Source organism: Homo sapiens, chromosome 20 (genome assembly GCF_000001405.40).
Source record: "Homo sapiens chromosome 20, GRCh38.p14 Primary Assembly".
Taxonomy (NCBI): Eukaryota; Metazoa; Chordata; class Mammalia; order Primates; family Hominidae; genus Homo; species Homo sapiens.
The window spans coordinates 49,083,630-49,102,742 of NC_000020.11; the positions used below are offsets into that span (position 1 = coordinate 49,083,630).

At 40.4% G+C, this 19,113-nt stretch overlaps 1 protein-coding gene across 4 annotated transcripts in view; it reads left to right on the forward strand.

Moving 5' to 3' along the window:
• The window catches only part of CSE1L (chromosome segregation 1 like), a 50,638-nt gene extending 37,318 nt beyond the window's left edge, over positions 1–13,320 (forward strand). For 3 of the 4 annotated variants that reach the window (NR_045796.2, NM_001316.4, NM_001256135.2), the window contains 11 exons: positions 397–533; positions 1,654–1,757; positions 4,380–4,477; positions 5,618–5,768; positions 5,909–6,117; positions 7,113–7,210; positions 7,308–7,393; positions 8,417–8,498; positions 10,511–10,657; positions 11,103–11,334; positions 12,720–13,320. Coding sequence is in view for 3 of the 4 variants with exons in the window: in NM_001316.4 (NP_001307.2) it covers positions 397–533; positions 1,654–1,757; positions 4,380–4,477; positions 5,618–5,768; positions 5,909–6,117; positions 7,113–7,210; positions 7,308–7,393; positions 8,417–8,498; positions 10,511–10,657; positions 11,103–11,334; positions 12,720–12,809 (1,434 nt within the window). In the remaining variant the exon portion in view is untranslated. Of the gene's footprint in view, positions 1–396; positions 534–1,653; positions 1,758–4,379; positions 4,478–5,617; positions 5,769–5,908; positions 6,118–7,112; positions 7,211–7,307; positions 7,394–8,416; positions 8,499–10,510; positions 10,658–11,102; positions 11,335–12,546 lie in introns of all 4 variants that reach the window. The other variant, NM_001362762.2, reaches the window with a different exon arrangement.
• Positions 13,321–19,113: the final 5,793 nt, after the last annotated feature.

Here is a 19,113-nt window from a genome sequence, read left to right on the forward strand (position 1 = left end):
TCGTATTTGTTGCTTTTTGGGGGTGGGAAGAGAACAAAAAATGAGACACAAAAAGGTTAAATAACTTTTTCAAGAAATATCTGCTAGTGATGATTCTTAAGTTTGGTGAAATCTTAGTCTCCTTCTCTGTGATATTATTATTTTATGGTATGTTGATTTATCTGCAAGATGTTATCCTCATAGTTTTGTGCTCTGAAAAGGAGAATTTAGAAAGTGGAAATTGAACCATTATGTGCAAGTGAAAGTTTTGGTTTCTGGGCAGCAGCATCTCCTATTATAACAGAGCTTAAAAATAGCAAATTGTTCTTTAAATCAACAGGTCCTTCTCTTCCAATTGTCTTTTACTCAAATATGGAATCATTGCATTTAGAGCATGTATATTATTGTGTTTTTTAGGTGCCAAAAGAACATCTTTTAGTCTCGATTCCTCTCTTGATTAATCATCTTCAAGCTGAAAGTATTGTTGTTCATACTTACGCAGCTCATGCTCTTGAACGGCTCTTTACTATGCGAGGGCCTAACAATGCCACTCTGTGAGTATTTTATTCTAAAGTTTTTTAGCCTGGGGTAGGGGCTGTACTGTGCTGGTCAAAGATATCTGAATGTTTTCATAATTTCACTAGTGGGAAAACAAATGTCTGCTTTCTATTCCTTTATACTCTGTTTCATTCTAAAAGCATTTGAGGCTGCTTACTAAAATAGGTGCATTATGACAATACAATTTAATAAACTGGAGCCAAGGAAAGTAACTGAGATAAAGTTAATAAACAGAAATGTGTGTCAAAGGATCCTATATAGTAGTCCAAGAAACTCCAAATTTTATTTGGAGTCTCTTAGCAGCCAGGGCAAAGAGGGAAACTTGGGAAGTTAAAATTTTCACAGGGTCTATGAGATAAAAGTTAAAGCAGAGAATACTGTACAATAGTAGTAGTAGTGTTCTCAGCAACAATCATGTAACAGTTATTTTCATGTGGCTATTTGCGTAAGGTCACTTATTTCTGAGATATGACCTAACCGAATGAAAGTAATTCACTGGGGACCAAGAAAATAGGTCTTCTGGCCTGAACCAGGATGAAATGTAGAGGAATGGATGGTCTGCATGTCTTTCAGGCCACTATTCAACAGTATTATTTCTTGAAATGAGCTTTGGGTAAGAGATGGAAAACAGTTCTAGGTTCTTTCCTTCATCAAGAACTTGAAGTACAGATACTCTCAGTGGCCAATTAAGGGTAGAAAGGACATCCTTTGAGGTGAGTCAAGCCAGTACCTATCTTCAGGCCCAGAATTTATGCAGAAAACAGTTCTGAATCTTGGCTCCACCTCCAAAAACAAAATAAATGACAGAGTCCCCTGAGATTCTGAGTTCTTTCTCAGTGGTAATAGATATAAACCAGGGACAACTGTTTCAACTTCAGATGTTGTTGGGTTTAGCTGGCTTTTTGGTTCAGTTGTGTTTGGTTCTCGATGTGCCTTCTTAGGAGCCTAACATGAGCACATGTAAAAAAATTATTTTCCTAAACTGTCTATCAATTGTCAGTGGTGGGAGATGGCTCAGTTTTATGCTGAGAAGGGTGACATAGTGGTTGCCAAGGGTAATCTGCAGTGACAAGCTCAAGAGTTGGTAGTGACTGAAAGCTGTTTTTTCATCTATAGCTTTACAGCTGCAGAAATCGCACCGTTTGTTGAGATTCTGCTAACAAACCTTTTCAAAGCTCTCACACTTCCTGGCTCTTCAGAAAATGAATATATTATGAAAGGTAGGCTGTTTCCCTGGTGTGCAGACTACAGGTATCCAATCTCAGATTGTAAGGGTGAGCACTCTGAGTTATACTTCAGGTTATACAGTCTATGAACCAGATAATGTTTACCAAGTAGTAAGTTAGTTTAGATATTTCAAAATGAAAAACATTATCTTGTTTACTACTAACAATAATTTTTTTTTTTTTTTTTTTTTTTTTTTGAGATGGAGCCTTGCTCTGTTGCCCAGGCTGAAGTGCAGTGGCTTGATCTCAGCTCACTGCCACCTCTCCCTCCTGGGTTCAAGCGATTCTCCTGCCTCAGCCTCCCGAGTAACTGGGATTACAGGTGCACTCCACCATGCCCGGTTAATTTTTGTATTTTTAGTAGAGACAGGGTTTTGCCATATTGGCCAGGCTGGTCTCAAACTCCTGACCTCAAATATCTGCCCGCCTCAGCCTCCCAAAGTGCTGGGATTAGAGGCCACTGCACCTGGCCAACAGTAATCTTAATTTGATATGGAACTTCTCATTACAGAAAATGTAGCAAAGCCCTTTTTTCCTTCCCTAGATTGAGTTTCTTTAAGGCAAAGAAGAGATCATGCAACGTTTATTAACTGCATGCTCACCTAGGTAGGGGTGAAATGTGGGTGCCTGTGGTAGACTCTGCACAAATCGTGTCTTCTTACGTACTGCCAAGGACACAGGCAGCTGTATCCATCCACAGGCTGGTGTATCCATCCACCAGGCACTACATTAGTTGAGTGTCCTGGTGCCAGCTCTGAATTTAGAGATAGTCTCAGTGTTTTTCACTGTTGCATCCCAAAAGCCTAGCACATTGGGTTGTAGGAAGCACTTTTCAGAGAAACTCCCTGATCTTTTCAGTCTGGATCAGAAATCCTAGAGTGGATGTGTGTATCTGGGTGTATGTTTCCAACACTATCCTTCCCCCAACAATGATGTATAATTGTGTAATTATTGTTGTTTAATGTCCTTTTTTTTTTTTTTTTTTTTTTTGAGATGGAGTTTCACTCTTGTTGCCCAGGCTGGAGTGCAATGGCACAATCTCAGCTCACTGCAGCCTCACTCTCCTGGGTTCAAGCGATTCGCCTGCCTCAGCCTCCCGAGTAGCTAGGATTACAGGCGTGTGCTACCATGCCCAGCTAATTTTGTATTTTTAGTAGAGACAGGGTTTCTGCATGTTGGTCAGGCTGGTCTTGAACTCCCGACCTCAGGTGATCCACCCGCCTCAGCCTCCCAAAGTGCTGGGATTACAGGTGTGAGCCACTGCGCCCAGCCTTAATGTCCATTTCTATGAGAGCGGCTAACTAGTCTGTAATCTTCATTACTGTGTTTTTAGGGTATGTAAGAATACACAGTATGTAATACCTTCTCTGTACGGTTGTATGAGTGAATGAAATAATTCTGCGCCAGCCTAGTGGAGGAGCACCAATTTATCCTCTAGCCCTTTTAACCCAGGTCAGGGAAGGATTTTCTCTAGGAAGTGATCTCTAAGCTGAGATATGACCTAACCGAACGTTAGGTGTGAGGGATAGGTAGCAATCTGTTGAAGGGTGGATGAGTCTTTGACTCCAGTAGAGGAGGAAACATGATGTGCAGAGTTCAGGAGGCAAGAGCAGATAGCTTTCTGTCCTTTATGCTTGGCATGTATTTGGGGCTCTGCTTAGTAAACATTTATTTTAGAAATGTTATTTGTGGAAAGAGAGCTTTTATACATTTTTAGCTGACAAATTTATTTTTCTCCCATGCTTCCTATTTTTAACCCATTTATGGTCTTTTGAGCAATATTTTTGCAATTTGGACTCTGTGGCTTTACATGTATTTTTAGAATTTTTTTAGGCTCCTAATCTCTTTTTTTGAGGGAGGTGGATAGGCAGTTTTCTCTTCAGTTTCCTGTAGTTTGTGATCATGTTTCCTTTAGGCTAGGGCTAAACATTTTCTGATGCTGGTTTCTTTTTCTTTTTCTTTTTTTTTTTTTTTTTTGAGAGAGAGAGGGAGTCTCGCTCTGTCTCCCAGGCTGGAGTGCAGTGGCATGATCTTGGCTCACTGCAACCTCCACTTCCCAGGTTCAAGCGATTCTCAAGCCTCAGCCTCCCGAGTAGCTGGGACTACAGACGTGCACCACATACCTGGCTAATTTTGCTATTTTTAATGGAGATGGGTTTTGCCATGTTAGCCAGGTTGGTCTCAGACTCTAGCCTCAAGTGATCCGCCAGCCTCGGCCTCCCAAAGTGCTGGGGTTACAGGTGTGAGCCACCAAGCATGGCCTCTGCTACTGATTTCTAAGAGAAAGAGACCCCAAACAGTTCTCTCTCAGACTCACCTGCTCCATTCATGTCAGCTCACTGTTTCTTCCTCTTAGTCAACCTCTTTAATTATTTTTTAAACCTTGAGCCTTCTAGAAATACTCAGTATTTCCCAGCTAAATTTTGTTGCCAACCCGTCCTAATTTTAAAAGGAAGGGAAATTTAGATTATTTTTAAATGTAGAGAGCTATCTCGGGGTTGTCTAAGCATCTTAAAATTTAGTTGATGAATTAGTGCGCTTTTTTCCCCCCAGTCGCTCTCTTATTCTGAAGTTTAACTAAACTCTATTTGTTTTTGCTGTTTTTGTATTTTACAGCTATCATGAGAAGTTTTTCTCTCCTACAAGAAGCCATAATCCCCTACATCCCTACTCTCATCACTCAGCTTACACAGAAGCTATTAGCTGTTAGTAAGGTAATAGAGCCAATTTTGAAAGTGGGGTTCCTTTTTTATTTGCTCCAAACTGTTTGGGCCTCAGAACTCTTTGGCATTACGTGAAGCTTTAGAGAAGGTCTGTGAATTCTTCCTGACCAGCCACTAATGGACTTTTCTGAAAGTGTGGGCATGCTGTTAGATTGGAGACGTAATAGCAGTCACCTTTAAGTGTGTGCTAGAAGCTTGAATACATTTTCATTCTCATTACAAAAGTAACATGTTTATTGTAGAAAAAGAAAGTGCAGATGATCCAAAATTACCTTAAATGGAGTTAAGTAGGCTTTGCACTAAATGGATATAAAAGAGGCTGTCTGGACTTCTATGAAATGATGATTAAAATCCTTTGTGTTGTCTTTTCTTCCTTACTCTTATTTCTCAAAAGGAAAGTTCACTCTGATCAAAATTTTACAGATACTTAGATTCATGTTTATTAACACTAAATTTTAGAAAATAAATCCGTTTAAGGCTGACAGAATTCCTTTTTAGATGCTATTCTTGATCTTATGAGAATTAGATCAATTCATAGGAAGTGTTGGAGGGATTTTGGAGAACAGAGTGATTATTATTCAACTGAGTTAGGGCTAAGGGTCTTTGGACTACTTAGGGCCTTGAGGGATGGAGCGGGGAGGGAACCCAAGTCTCCGCCTCCCATATGTATTACCATCTCATGTTCTGATTGAGTTAGATTTGTATGCTAGTAGCCTTCCAAGAACTTGTTTAAAGAAAAATGGGGTTTTGTTGCTTAAAAAGAACATAAAAAACTACTCATTTGGGGGATTATCAGTAAGTAGACATAGACATTGAGGCCCACAGAAGTTAAGGCTAGTGGCATTACTAGGACTTAGTATTTCTTCTCTGCGAGGGCACGTGGGCTTAAGACAAGTTACAGCTCTGGGATCTGAGGTTTGTATAAGCAACTCTGTAACTCTGAAGTATTTTTTTCATGGTGGACTTTGGGCCATTTAAAAAAAAATTCAAATGAACAAGCACTAGGGTATAATTGGTGTTTTTTTCTTAATTTTGATTTTTAAAAAATAAGATGGCCTCTATTTTAAATGTGTTTTATAAAGGTTAGGTGTGGATTATTAGCATAATTAGGTTTTTTTTTTTTAATTTCAGAACCCAAGCAAACCTCACTTTAATCACTACATGTTTGAAGCAATATGTTTATCCATAAGAATAACTTGCAAAGCTAACCCTGCTGCTGTTGTAAATTTTGAGGAGGCTTTGTTTTTGGTGTTTACTGAAATCTTACAAAATGATGTGCAAGGTAAGTTAACGGAAATTATTTTCTTTGTAATGGAATAAAATTAACATGGCTATAAAATGCAGCCCACCTAAGCGATGTGGGCCTTTTGTGTCAGTCATTCCTTCTGAAGCTCACAGCTCTGTTTTTACTTTTATCAACAGAATTTATTCCATACGTCTTTCAAGTGATGTCTTTGCTTCTGGAAACACACAAAAATGACATCCCGTCTTCCTATATGGCCTTATTTCCTCATCTCCTTCAGCCAGTGCTTTGGGAAAGAACAGGAAATATTCCTGCTCTAGTGAGGCTTCTTCAAGCATTCTTAGAACGCGGTTCAAACACAATAGCAAGTGCTGCAGCTGACAAAATTGTGCGTCAGGTTTTGATATAACTGTAATTTTATAAAGTAGCTTGGAGAAACTGGGGATGGCAGATGTTTGAAATTTTTTTATTTAAAATAAATTTAAGGCTGGGGGCAGTGGCTCAAGCCCACCACTTTGGGAGCCTCTAGTGGGAGGATCCCTTGAGCCGAGGAGTTTAAGACCAGCCTAGGCAACGTGGTGAGATCTATCTCTACAAAGGAAAAAAAAGCTTTTTAATTAGTTGGACACAGTGGAGCATGCCTGTGGTCCCATCTACTTGGGAGGCTAAGGTGAGAGGGTCGCTTGAGCCCAGGAGTTTAAGGCTGCAGTGAGCCATGATCTCACCATTGCACTCCATCCTGGGCAACAGAGCTAGACCCTGTCTCTTAAAAAAAATAATAATAATAATAACGGAAATAATTAGTAGAAAATGTTATGGTATGTTTTATCAGAATTCTGTATCCTTTAGTTATTTATATCCATGATGGAAAATTTTAAAAACAGAGCCAAACAGGTTGATTTTAAGAACTTAACTTTGGTCGGGCGTGGTGGCTCACACCTGTAATCTCAGCACTTTGGGAGGCCGAGGTGGGCAGATCACCTGAGGTCAGGAGTTCAAGACCAGCCTGGCCAACATGGCGAAACCCCGTCTCTACTAAAAATAAAAATTAGGTGGGTGTGGTGGCACGTGCCTGTAATCCCAGCTACTCAGAAGGCTGAGGCAGGAGAATCGCTTGAACCTGGGAAGCAGAGGTTGCAGTGAGCCAAGATCGCCCCATTGCACTCTAGCCTGGGCAACAAGAGTGAAACTCCGTCTCAAAGAAAAAAAAAATTACTTTAATGGCTACGCGGGAGGAATTGTTCCCCATATGTTTCAGAAATAATTAAAGAGAAAAGGATAGATTATTACAGTATGAACTCTGTTTTAAGACATATATCATGTTTAACTTTTCGAATAATTATTCCTGTTAACCATTTTCTGTTGGATCTCATTTCTTAACAGCCTGGGTTACTAGGTGTCTTTCAGAAGCTGATTGCATCCAAAGCAAATGACCACCAAGGTTTTTATCTTCTAAACAGTATAATAGAGCACATGCCTCCGTGAGTATGACTAGAACTTTGTGCATTTATTTAGAAATTTTGTTAGGTGCTCAGAAAAGTCCTAAATTTATATTGTTGATTTTTTTTAATTCTTTAGTGAATCAGTTGACCAATATAGGAAACAAATCTTCATTCTGCTATTCCAGAGACTTCAGAATTCCAAAACAACCAAGTTTATCAAGAGTAAGTAAAATCATCTGGATGTTCTACAGAAGTAATGAAAGAAGGTAGCTAAAACCCTTAGACTTTATGGTTGCAGATACATTTTTTATCCGTTTTAAACTTTATGCAAAAAATACTTGGCCACGTGTGGAGGTTCATGCCTGTAATCGCAGCACTTTGGGTGGCCAAGGGAGGCCGATCGCTTGAGCTCAGGAGTTCAAGACCAGCCTGGGCAACATGGCGAAACCCTGTCCCTACGAAAAGTACAACAAAATTAGCCAGGCATGGTGGCATGTGCCTGTAGTCGCAGCTGCTTGGGAGGCTGAAGTAGGAGCATCACCTAAGTCCCAGAGGTTGAGGCTGCAGTGAGCCAAGATTACACCCACTGCACTCCATCCTAGGTGACAGAGTGAGACCCTGTCTCAAAAAAAAAAAAGAAAATATTGTAAGGGCCTGGTGCAGTGGCTCTCATCTGTAATCCCAGCACTTTGGGAGGTGAAAGTGGGAGTATTCCTTGAGTCCAGGAGTTAACGACCAGCCTGGGCAACATGGTAAGACCCTGTCTCTACAAAACAGCCAAGCATGGTGGTGTGTGCCTGTAGCCCCAGCTACTCAGGAGGCTGAGGTGGGAGGATCACTTGACCCTGGGAAGTTAAGGCTGCGTGAGCTGTGATCACGCTCCTGCACCCAGCCTAGGTGATAGAGTGAAACCTTCTCACAAGAAAAAAGAAAATATTTTAAGATGTTTGTGTTCTCCAAACATTAAGTTAGTGTTAGTCATATTGTGTTCCAGAGGTTGGTTTATGGTTGGATACCAAAACATTTTTTCAGTAGAGAGAATATTATAAGGAAATATAAATCAAAGAGAGACAGCATGTAAAGGTCTATGACAGAAAGACAAGTTTTCTATTTACTAGAAGGCAGGTATTGATGCCACAGCCTTTGGATGTTAATGATTAAGCATAGGTTTATTTTGCAGACTTATCAGTTACCAGTTTAGTGCGTGAGTTCTCTATGCTGATATTCTGCATCTTCTTTCAACAGGTTTTTTAGTCTTTATTAATTTGTATTGCATAAAATATGGGGCACTAGCACTACAAGAAATATTTGATGGTATACAACCAAAGTAAGTTTGTTTTTATTATTTTTTAAAGGAAGAAAATGTTTTGACTTTTTTTTTAGTACAAATCAGTATCTCTGTCTTATAGATGATGATGTGGTTCTTGGTATGGAGATAGTGTCTATGGTTTTCAAAATATTCTTAGGTATTGGGAGTAAAGAAAAAGTAATCCTGGCCCAGCATGGTGGCTCACGCCCGTAATCCCACACTCTGAGAGGCTGAGGAGGGCGGATTTAGCTCAGGAGTTTGAGACCAGCCTGGGCAATATAGTGAGACTCCATCTCAAAAAAAGAAAAAACACCCTGGAATCATTGTTCTAATCCTCTAGATTAGAGGACCATCTACTCTACACACTGGCATTCTCCACAGCCAGTGTTCTATATTATGTTAAATGGTCAGTGTTGTCTCCAGGAGCCTGCCTTATTAAAACTAACAGCAGAAAACACCACATGTTCTCACTCATAGGTGGGAATTGAACAATGAGAACACTTGGACACAGGGCGGGGAACATCACACTCTGGGGCCTGTCGTGGGATGGGGGGCAGGGGAAGGGAGGGCAGAGGGAGGGATAGCATTAGCAGAAATACCTAATGTAAATGACGAGTTAATGGGTGCAGTAAACCAACTTGGCACATGTATACATATGTAACAAACCTGCACGTTGTGCACATGTACCCTAGAACTTAAAGTATAATTAAAAAAAAAAACCAGAATTTTCCTTCCCCCTTTTTTAAAAAATCGTGCTAATCCATATCGTTCCAATTTTAGTATATGTGCTGCTAATGCAAACACAGCAGAATTTTTCAAATGAGAAATACTTAGGACCAATAAATTAACTTTGTTTTTGACTTATCTGGTATATATGCAAAGAATGTATTTAGGTGGCATTTCCCATTAGTAGGGAATAAAACAATTATAACGATAAGATAAAGAACAACTCTTAGGGAAAATTTCTTCGGGGACAGTTAGATCCCTGTACCTCAGTTATGTCTCAAAAATTCTACATTGACTAAAAAATGAATTACTCTGGAAAGGAGACCAGAAAACATGGCTTCCGGCAGTAGGGGATTTTGAGGAAATCTCATGCACTGCTAGTGGGAGCCTGAATTAGCCTGATCTTTCTAGAGAGCAAAATGTATGCACTTTTTATCCAGAGCATTAGAATTGCCATACCCTTTGAGCCATATTTCCACTTCAAAGAATTGGTTCTATTAACGCATAAACTGAGGATTTTGCATCATTTAGAATTACGGAAAACTTCACTTCTAGCATGTTTGCAACAACATAGAATGATTGGCCGAATTATTTTAAATAGCCATTAGCATTTATGTACCTGCAGGTATGTAAGCAAAGACAGTTGGGAAGCTTATAACCCAAAAATGTTAAAACTAGTTGTTTCTGGGTGGTGGGATGATTCCTTTTTTCCCTCCTTGCTCCTCTCTCTTTTTTTTTTTTTTTTCTTTTTTTTTTTTGAGACTGGCCAGGTGTAATTTTTAAAGAAAAAAGCAGAGAGGGCCAGGAATGGTGGCTCACGCCTGTAATCCTAGCACTTTGGGAGGCTGAGGCAGGTGGATCACCTGAGGTCAGGAGTTCGAGATCAGCCTGGCCAACACAATGAAACCCCATCTCTACTAAAAATACAAAAATTTGCCGGGCGTGGTGGTGGGCACCTGTAATCCCACCTACTCAGGGGGCTGAGGCAGGCAAATTGCTTGAACCCAGGAGGTGGAGGTTGTAGTGAGCTGAGATCACACCGTTCCACTCCAGCCTGGGCAACAAGAGCGAAACTCCGTCTCAAAAAAAAAAAGAAAAGAAAAAGATTATGGCATTTGGCTACAGGGTAGAGGTGTGATGGGGTTTTTTTATGTTTTGACTTTCAGTCTCTTCAGATGATCAAAAACAGCAGTCTTGTTATTTAGTAATTTATCATATTCATAAGAAGTAACTAACATCTAAGCATTTTACTATTTCATTATAGTGATAATCTAATATTAAGTTGATTTATTTTGCTTTAATAGAATGTTTGGAATGGTTTTGGAAAAAATTATTATTCCTGAAATTCAGAAGGTATCTGGAAATGTAGAGAAAAAGATCTGTGCGGTTGGCATAACCAAATTACTAACAGAATGTCCCCCAATGATGGACACTGAGTATACCAAACTGTGGTAAGTACTTCATTTTAATATTTTTGTAAGTTACAGCTTCCTTCCCATATGACTGCAAAATTAACAAAGCTTATTCTCTTGGGGGCCAAGAGAATCTTGGTCTGATCTCAGCTTCTCCACAATCAGATCCAAGACATGATTTCTGGATCCTTCTGGGCTTAGAATGATCTTGTTTCCTGCTTCTTTTTCAGGGGGATTCATGGACCCCTTTAAGAGTCTGATCTAGGTGATCTCTAAGACAATTTTATGACAGAAGCCCAACTAAACTGACTTATCTTTAAGGGGAAGAACTGAATAAGCCAAGAAAAGAACCATCTTAATTTCAAAGGTCCCCTTTTATTCTTGAGACTATGAGTCTGTAATTTTGTGTCTCTGAGCAATTGCTGGTTTTAAGTCTTCCGAGTATTTTCTTGACCTTTTTATCTCTTGCTTTCTTCCAATCCAGGACTCCATTATTACAGTCTTTGATTGGTCTTTTTGAGTTACCCGAAGATGATACCATTCCTGATGAGGAACATTTTATTGACATAGAAGATACACCAGGATATCAGACTGCCTTCTCACAGTTGGCATTTGCTGGGAAAAAAGAGCATGATCCTGTAGGTCAAATGGTGAATAACCCCAAAATTCACCTGGCACAGTCACTTCACAAGTTGTCTACCGCCTGTCCAGGAAGGGTAAGTGTGTTGTCAAAGAACTCTGTGATAAATGGAGACTTTAATGGGAGGGCAAAAGGATAGTAGTAGTTCTGGTGTCTGTTTTCATTGGTGGGCGTAATAAAACTAAATCTCATTGAGTTACAGCAAGCTTATTTTCTTTAATTAAAAACACTGAGCCCTTTTTTTCTTGTATTATGTACTACAAATATATTTTAAGTGAATGGATTTAGGAGTGAGAACAAAGGAGGAAAAATCCCTTCAATAGAAATGTAATAAGGCTGTATAGTTGCATTTTGTCAGCACTTTATAATAAGAGTTTATTTCCCAGATCGAAGTAATCCATCTATTATTAAAATGTGGTAGCATTTTTTTATTTTTATTTTTATTTATTTATTTTTTTAGACAGGGTCTCACTCTTATCCAGGCTGGAATGCAGTAGTACGATTATGGCTCACTGCAGCCTCAACCTCCCAGGTTCAAGTGATCCTACTGCCTGTCAGCCTTCCAAGTAGCTAGGACCCACTATGCCCAGCTAATTTTTTATTTTTTTGTGGAGACAGGGTCTCCCTATGTTGTTCAGGTTGGTCTCAACCTCCTGGGCTCAAGCCATCCTCCTCCCTCAGCCTCCCAAAGTGCTGGGATTACAAGTGTGAGCCTGGACACAGTTATTTTTTTTTAATTGCAGCATACTCAGAAATTAATAGATCATGGCATAAACCTAATAATGACTGTATAGTTGCATTTTGTCAGCACTTATTATAGAGTTCTTACATGTTACCTGATAAAATATATATTTTTCAAGCCAGACACAGTGGTTTATGCCTGTAGTTCTAGTGCTTTGGGAGGCCAGGGCTGCAGTGAGCTATTACAGTGCCACTGCAATCCAGCCTGGGCAACAGAGCGAGGTCCCGTTTCTTAAAAAACATATATGTGTGTGGCGTGTGTATATATATGTATATATATTTTTTCATTGTATTATTACGGAGACTTTCAAACATATATAGAAAGAGCATAATGAAGCCTGCATGTGCCCAGCTTCAATAATTACCAATATCTTGCCAGTTTTGTTTCGTTTCTCCTTTTATTCTCTGTATTGAGCAAGTCTTAGACATCATACGTTTCACGCGTAAGTACCTTATTCTACATCATTAACCAGTAAGGACTTTTTAATTAACCACAATACCACTATCACACCTAATAATAGTAATTCCTTATGGATCTTTTCTTTAGACCTATTTTTGAAGGCATAAAAGCAGTTGAGTTTCTGGAGAATTTTTGGATGGTGATTAATGACTTGACTGGCTGCTCTTCCCAGAGCTGTGGCAGCTCTCCCGTAGAAGATGGGGTTTGTATTGGCGCACCAAGATCTCCAACAGCCAGTGTGTGTTTCCCATCTCTTGTAGGTTCCATCAATGGTGAGCACCAGCCTGAATGCAGAAGCGCTCCAGTATCTCCAAGGGTACCTTCAGGCAGCCAGTGTGACACTGCTTTAAACTGCATTTTTCTAATGGGCTAAACCCAGATGGTTTCCTAGGAAATCACAGGCTTCTGAGCACAGCTGCATTAAAACAAAGGAAGTTCTCCTTTTGAACTTGTCACGAATTCCATCTTGTAAAGGATATTAAATGTTGCTTTAACCTGAACCTTGAGCAAATTAGTTGGTTTGTGTGATCATACAGTTATGTGGGTGGCTTCTAGTTTGCAACTTCAAGGGACAAGTATTAATAGTTCAGTGTATGGCGTTGGTTTGTGTTGAGCGTTTGCACGGTTTGGATAATCTTAAATTTTGACGGACACTGTGGAGACTTTCTGTTACTAAATCCTTTTGTTTTGAAGCTGTTGCTATTTGTATTTCTCTTGTCCTTTATATTTTTTGTCTGTTTATTTACGCTTTTATTGGAAATGTGAATAAGTAAAGAATTACTTGTGTTACTTGCCAAGCAGTGCACATTTCATAGTTTCAAATCTGTAATCAGCAATAAAAATCCTAAAATATGTACCTAAGAACATCTTAAGGGCAGGTTTTCAGTGCTCTCTCATGCTTTTATAAAAATGAAGAATTTCTTTAAATTTCTTCCTTTTCCTTTCCTGGACTCTGTAAAATCCTAATTTCTAAATCATGTAAACTCAGATTATTTAGTCTTTTTTTTTATATGGGGGAAGGGGACATTAATATAGATTTGGGGCTTATTTACTAGAATTTTCTGTAGCAGTTCCTAGGTGGCAGTGTGAGTTTTGGGTAGGTGGCTCCTCTGGGAGAAATGCTCTGCCTCGCTTAATGGGATGGCGGTCGAGAGTACTTGAGACTGTGGATGTTTTGATCTCTTTCATCTCTGCTGTTCCCTGGAGAGTGGAGGTTACTTGGAACTTTTCAAACCCTGACACCTTAGAACCGTGAAGTCCAGTCCAGTGGTGGATCCGGCCGGATGCCTGGTGAGCTTGGTTGCACTGGCTCCCTCCCTTGGCCTGGCCCATGGAATTGTACAGCATTCGTTTCTGAGGAATGAAGAATCAGAATATCTAAATTTTGTGAGGCACAGTTTATGCTGGAATTGTTCATTGTCCATTCAGTGTAGTTAAACTGGAACTTTTGTCTTCCCAGCTCAAGTGATTTGTCACAGGAGTTATCGATATCCCTTTTTTTTTTCTTTTTTACCCCCAAGATAAGAGTCTTGTTCTGTTGACCAGGCTGGAGTGCAGTGGCACAATCTCAGTTCACTGCAACCTCCACTTCCTGGGTTTGAGCAATTCTCCTGCCTCAGCCTCTCGAGTAGCTGGGATTACAGGCGTCCGCCACCACGCCCAGCTAATTTTTGTATTTTTATTAGAGATGGGGTTTCACCATATTTGTCAGGCTGGTCTCGAACTCCTGACCTCATGATCTGCCTGCCTCGGCCTCCCAAAGTGCTGGGATTACACGCGTGAGCCACTGTGCCTGGTGATAACTTTTTTAATCTTAGGCACTTGACTCGAATGGTTTTTCTTATTTTGAATTTTTTTTTTTTTTTTTTTTTTTTTTTTTGAGACGGAGTCTCACTCTTGCCCAGGCTGGAGTGCAGTGGCACAATCTCAGCTGACTGCAACCTCCGCCTCCCAGGTTCAAGCGATTCTCCTGCCTCAGCCTCCTGAGTAGCTGGGATACAGGCATGCATCACCATGCCTGGCTATTTTTTGTATTTTTAGTAGAGACAGGGTTTCACCATGTTGGCCAGGCTGGTTTCAAACTCCTGACCTTGTGATCCGCCTGCCTCGGCTTACCAAAGTGCTGGGATTAGAGGCTTGAGCCACTGTGCCCAGCCACTTGTTTCTGTAATGTTGCATGAGAAATTTCAAGTTCTCTTAAGTCTATTTGTACCATCTAGTCATTTAAGGGCTTTTTGTTGTTGTTGTTGTTGTTGTTGTTGTTGTTGTTGTTGTTGGTTTTGACACAGTAATGGGAATACTACATTTTACGTTATTACTTTGGCTTAAGTGGTCGTTGGTAGAAAGATACTGAAATATTACTGAAGCCATTTTTAAGCCACAATTTATTTGGAAAGTCTGGGACAACAGGGAATTGCTAGTGATGGTTTCTGTATGTTTTTCACTCACATGAGCTCCTTAAGTATTTATTTGGCTTTGCTCTTCCTGAAGCTGCTTGTGAACAGTCAGTCAGATACCGTTCTGGAGGCTGCTTGATTCAACATCTTAAACTCAGATCGAGTTCGAAACGTTTTCCTTCTTCAGTTCAAAAGGCTGAGTAGTAGATGGTGTGCCTTTTAAAATAGTTACTGAACAGCAAGACTAGTACATTTACTTACTTTAGCACAGTTCATTAATTATCAAATAATTTTTTTAAATGCCTTCTATTGAAGTTGCTTATTCAATCGTCCAAGACAGTTTTTATATCTGGCTTTAAAGATTTTAGGACATGGTGGACAGAAACTGCTGGAGTGGTTTTTTTCTTTTTTCTTCACAAGCCTTACTGACTGTAGCTCAGTGGTGATGCACACTGTGGGTATGAAGATCAGGGTTTGAGTTACAGCACTGCTACTGACTATGACCTTGAGCAAATGAGTTGACCTCTATGCCTTTTTTTTCTCTTCTGAAAAATGAGCATATTATTTACCTTCAAGGTGGTTGTAAGAATAAAATGAGATGATGCATGTAGAGTACTCAAGCAGAGAACCTGTGCAGAGTAAGCACACATCAGGAAAAGCTGCTGGGGGAGCAGAGGGCTTGGGTGGGAGGAAGCGTTTGTTACTGAGCACACTTACCAATGTGCTGCATACCTGGAAGGCGGGAAGGCTTTGTGGAGAAGAGTCCTGGCATGGGCGGCCCCACCTGTACCCCAGGGTGTTTTTACAGAAGGGAAGTATTGCCAGGTTTCTCATCAGAGCTTCCTGCTAGGTGCATTCATTCTCCATGGTATTCAATCATGTCTTTTAACAAGCTGATTTTTAAATAATTGAGTTTTTAAATTATTTTTATGTATTTATTTTTTTGAGATGGAGTCTTGCTCAGCCCAGGCTGAAGTGCAGAGGCGTGATCTCGGCTCACTGCAACCTCCACCTCCTGGTTTCAAGTGATTCCCCAGCCTCAGCCTCCCGAGTAGCTGGAATTACAGGCACGCGCCACCACGCCCAGCTAACTTTTGTATTTTTAGTAGAGACAGGGTTTCACCATGTTTTGTCAGGCTGGTCTCAAACTCCTGACCTCAAGTGATCCACCTGCCTCGGCCTCCCAAAGTGCTGGGAGTACAGGTGTGAGCCACCACATCTGGCCACCGACTTTTTATTTTAAATGTATTTTCTTTGTGGGAAACTTGGAAAATAAAGAAAAAATATTTAAAAATTAAAAATAATTCATATTCCTACCTACATTAAGCATTTTGGTTCATTTGAGATCATTCTGTATATAGTTTTGTAATTTTTTTAAACCATATTTACTTGGTAAACATTCAGTGGATATATGTGATTTATCATTAGGATATATCATTACCAGATTATGTAATTGTAGTCATTGCTGGATGTCTTGGAGGTTTTCTGATTTTGTAGACAACTCTTGAGATGAACATCTTTATGCATCAATTTTTAGTTCCTGAAGGTGGAATTAGAGCCAATTTTCTTGTGCAAAGTTCATGTCAGTTTCTTTAACACACCTTTACCTACACTGGGCATTATTTGGTTGCCATTTTGATAAGTAAAAATGGTACTTTTCCTTACTTCTGAGGCATAATCAGATTGGCATTTAATCAAACTATTACATACATGTGGTAGAATTCATTTTTTTTAAATTTAACTTTGTTGTTGTTGAGAGGGAGTCTTGCTCTGCCGCCCAGGCTGGAGTACAGTGGTGCAATCTCAGCTCACTGCAACCTCTGCCTCCTGGTTTCAAGCAATTCTCCTGCCTCAGCCTCCTGAGTAGCTGGGATTACAGGCACCTTCCACCATGCTTGGCTAATTTTTGTATTTTTAGTAGAGACAGTTTCACCATGTTGGCCACGTTGGTATAGTGGTGAGCATAGCTGCTTTCCAATTTACTTTATTTATTTATTTATTTATTTATTTATTTATTTATTTATTTATTTGAGACGGAGTCTAACTCTCCTACCCAGGCTGTAGTGCATTGGCACGATCTCAGCTCACTGCAACCTCCATCTCCCAGGTTCAAGCAATTCTCCTGTCTCAGCCTCCCAAGTAGCTGGGACTACAGGTGCACACCACCATGCCGAGCTAATTTTTTGTATTTTTTAGTAGAGACGGGGGTTTCACCATGTTGGCCAGGCTGGTCTCGAACTCCTGGCCTCAAGTGAACTGCCTACCTGGGTCTCACAAAGTGCTGGGATTACTGGCTTGAGCTACCACACATGGCCTCAACTCTTCATTATTAAATTGGTTTTGTGTTAGGTGATTTTGCCCAGCTGTAGGTGAATGTAAGCGTTCTGAGCATGTTTGAAGTAGGCTAGACTGAGCTAGGATGGTGGGTCGGTTAAGTGTATTAAAATGCATTTTAACTTATGATATTTTCAGTTTATGGTGAGTTTATCAGGATGTGACCCCATCGTAAGTTGAGGAGCATCTGTAATAGCATTTTGTTTTTTAAAAATATTTAATCATCTTTGTCAATGTCTCTTGAATCCTCAGCGTTGACAACGAAGATGTGTCCCTACCCTCTGCCTCTCAGGCTTGCTAATTGCTGGGTTCTGCTTTCACTTTCACATTGTTGAAGGAGATATTTCCAGTTGTTTTCTGTGCATTATCTGTAGTTCCCTTTTAAAAGGTGAAGCTGATAAACACTTGTTATGACAGTGTGAACTGGGCTTAATGCTGTGTCAAGCAGTGTGCAAAGATTACATTTCCCTCTCCTCATGTCTTGACTTCTGCATCCCTCAAGAGAGAATGAATGTTCGTAAGGTTAAGGTCAAATGGAATGGAGTTTGCTCCTCATATTTCATCAGTTGCTCAAAGGTACTCCCCATTTTAGCTTGTGTTCTGTTTGGATCCTGACTTTCTCATGGTGGTTTTTCTGGACTTTTATTAGCTTTCTTTTTCATCCTGGGTATTACATGGCGTGCCTTCCACTCTGCCCCTGGATTTCTTTTTACAGCCCTGGCTCTTGTGGGCCACAACAGTTCTTGAGGTAGGCTGCTAGGGTTCCCCATTGGAGCCTCTCCATTCCAGTGTTCCAGGGGGCAGATGAGCTCCTATCCCCACTGGCCTGTCTTGCTGGTGTTCAGGGCCCTGGCTTCCACTTTGCGAGGTCACCTTTCAGGATTCATGTGTATCCACTTTGCTGTGTCAGAAACTCCCTACTGCTGACCTCCCTCTCCTCTTTGCTGTCATTAATGGATTCTCATTGTGGGAGATAAACGTGTGCTCAGCCTAGAATACCACATGATTTTTTTTTTCTTGATTCATTGCTTTTGCCTGTTAGCCTTGTTGTTCTAAAGTAGTTCATTTTTCTACTCTACTTTTCCTTTCCCCTCAATGACCCCCACCCCAAAACTGTGCCTAAATACTATTCATGCAGTCTTTGAGAATCAAACAGGTTCACACTCTTATTCCTGAGTACAGAAACTTACCGAATCACACAGCTGGATAAAGCCGGGATTGAAACCCTGGCAGTCTGGTTTCCAGAGCATTCTGGCTTAGCCACTTATGCCATGGTTTGGCAAAAGTTAGAAACAGCTAATCAGCTAATAAGGGCATGATCACAAGGCATTTTGCTAATAAGTTTTTAAAATATACACTATGGGTGTTTTTTGGTTGTGACAATTCTTGGGTCCCTATTCATAGGAGCATCCCCCGCACCAATCCCTAGGCACAATCCTGTATCCAGCCTGCTGGACATGACCGTTTATTCCATTTCGTAAACCCTAAGCATTTGCTCTGCAAACCTCCTCCTGCTTGGTCCTTGCTCTTACTCCTTGTCTGAGAAACATGGTGGCTGAGCTTTGTGACTGCAAGGCAGGGCTCATCCTTAGGGTCTACCCTGAGGTATTCTTAGTAGGACTGCTCTTTGATAGGGCAAAGGAGTTTCATGGACCCTTTGAAAATAATTTAGAGGCATTTTCCTTTGGTTTCTCTGAATGAGCTAAGAACCCCTGATAATAAGGAACTGCTGTGGGCTGATGGTCAGTTCCTCCAGCCCCTCCATTCTAGGAAGGTGTCTGGTAAAGCAGCTCACTGTGTGGTTGGGGAAGGGAGACAAACTATGAAGTTGTGCCGATTTCTGGGTTTTTTCCCTTACACATGGGATGGTGTGAGATAAAAATCTGGCAACATAGACGCAGTGTTCATGTCAAGAAAGAGCCAC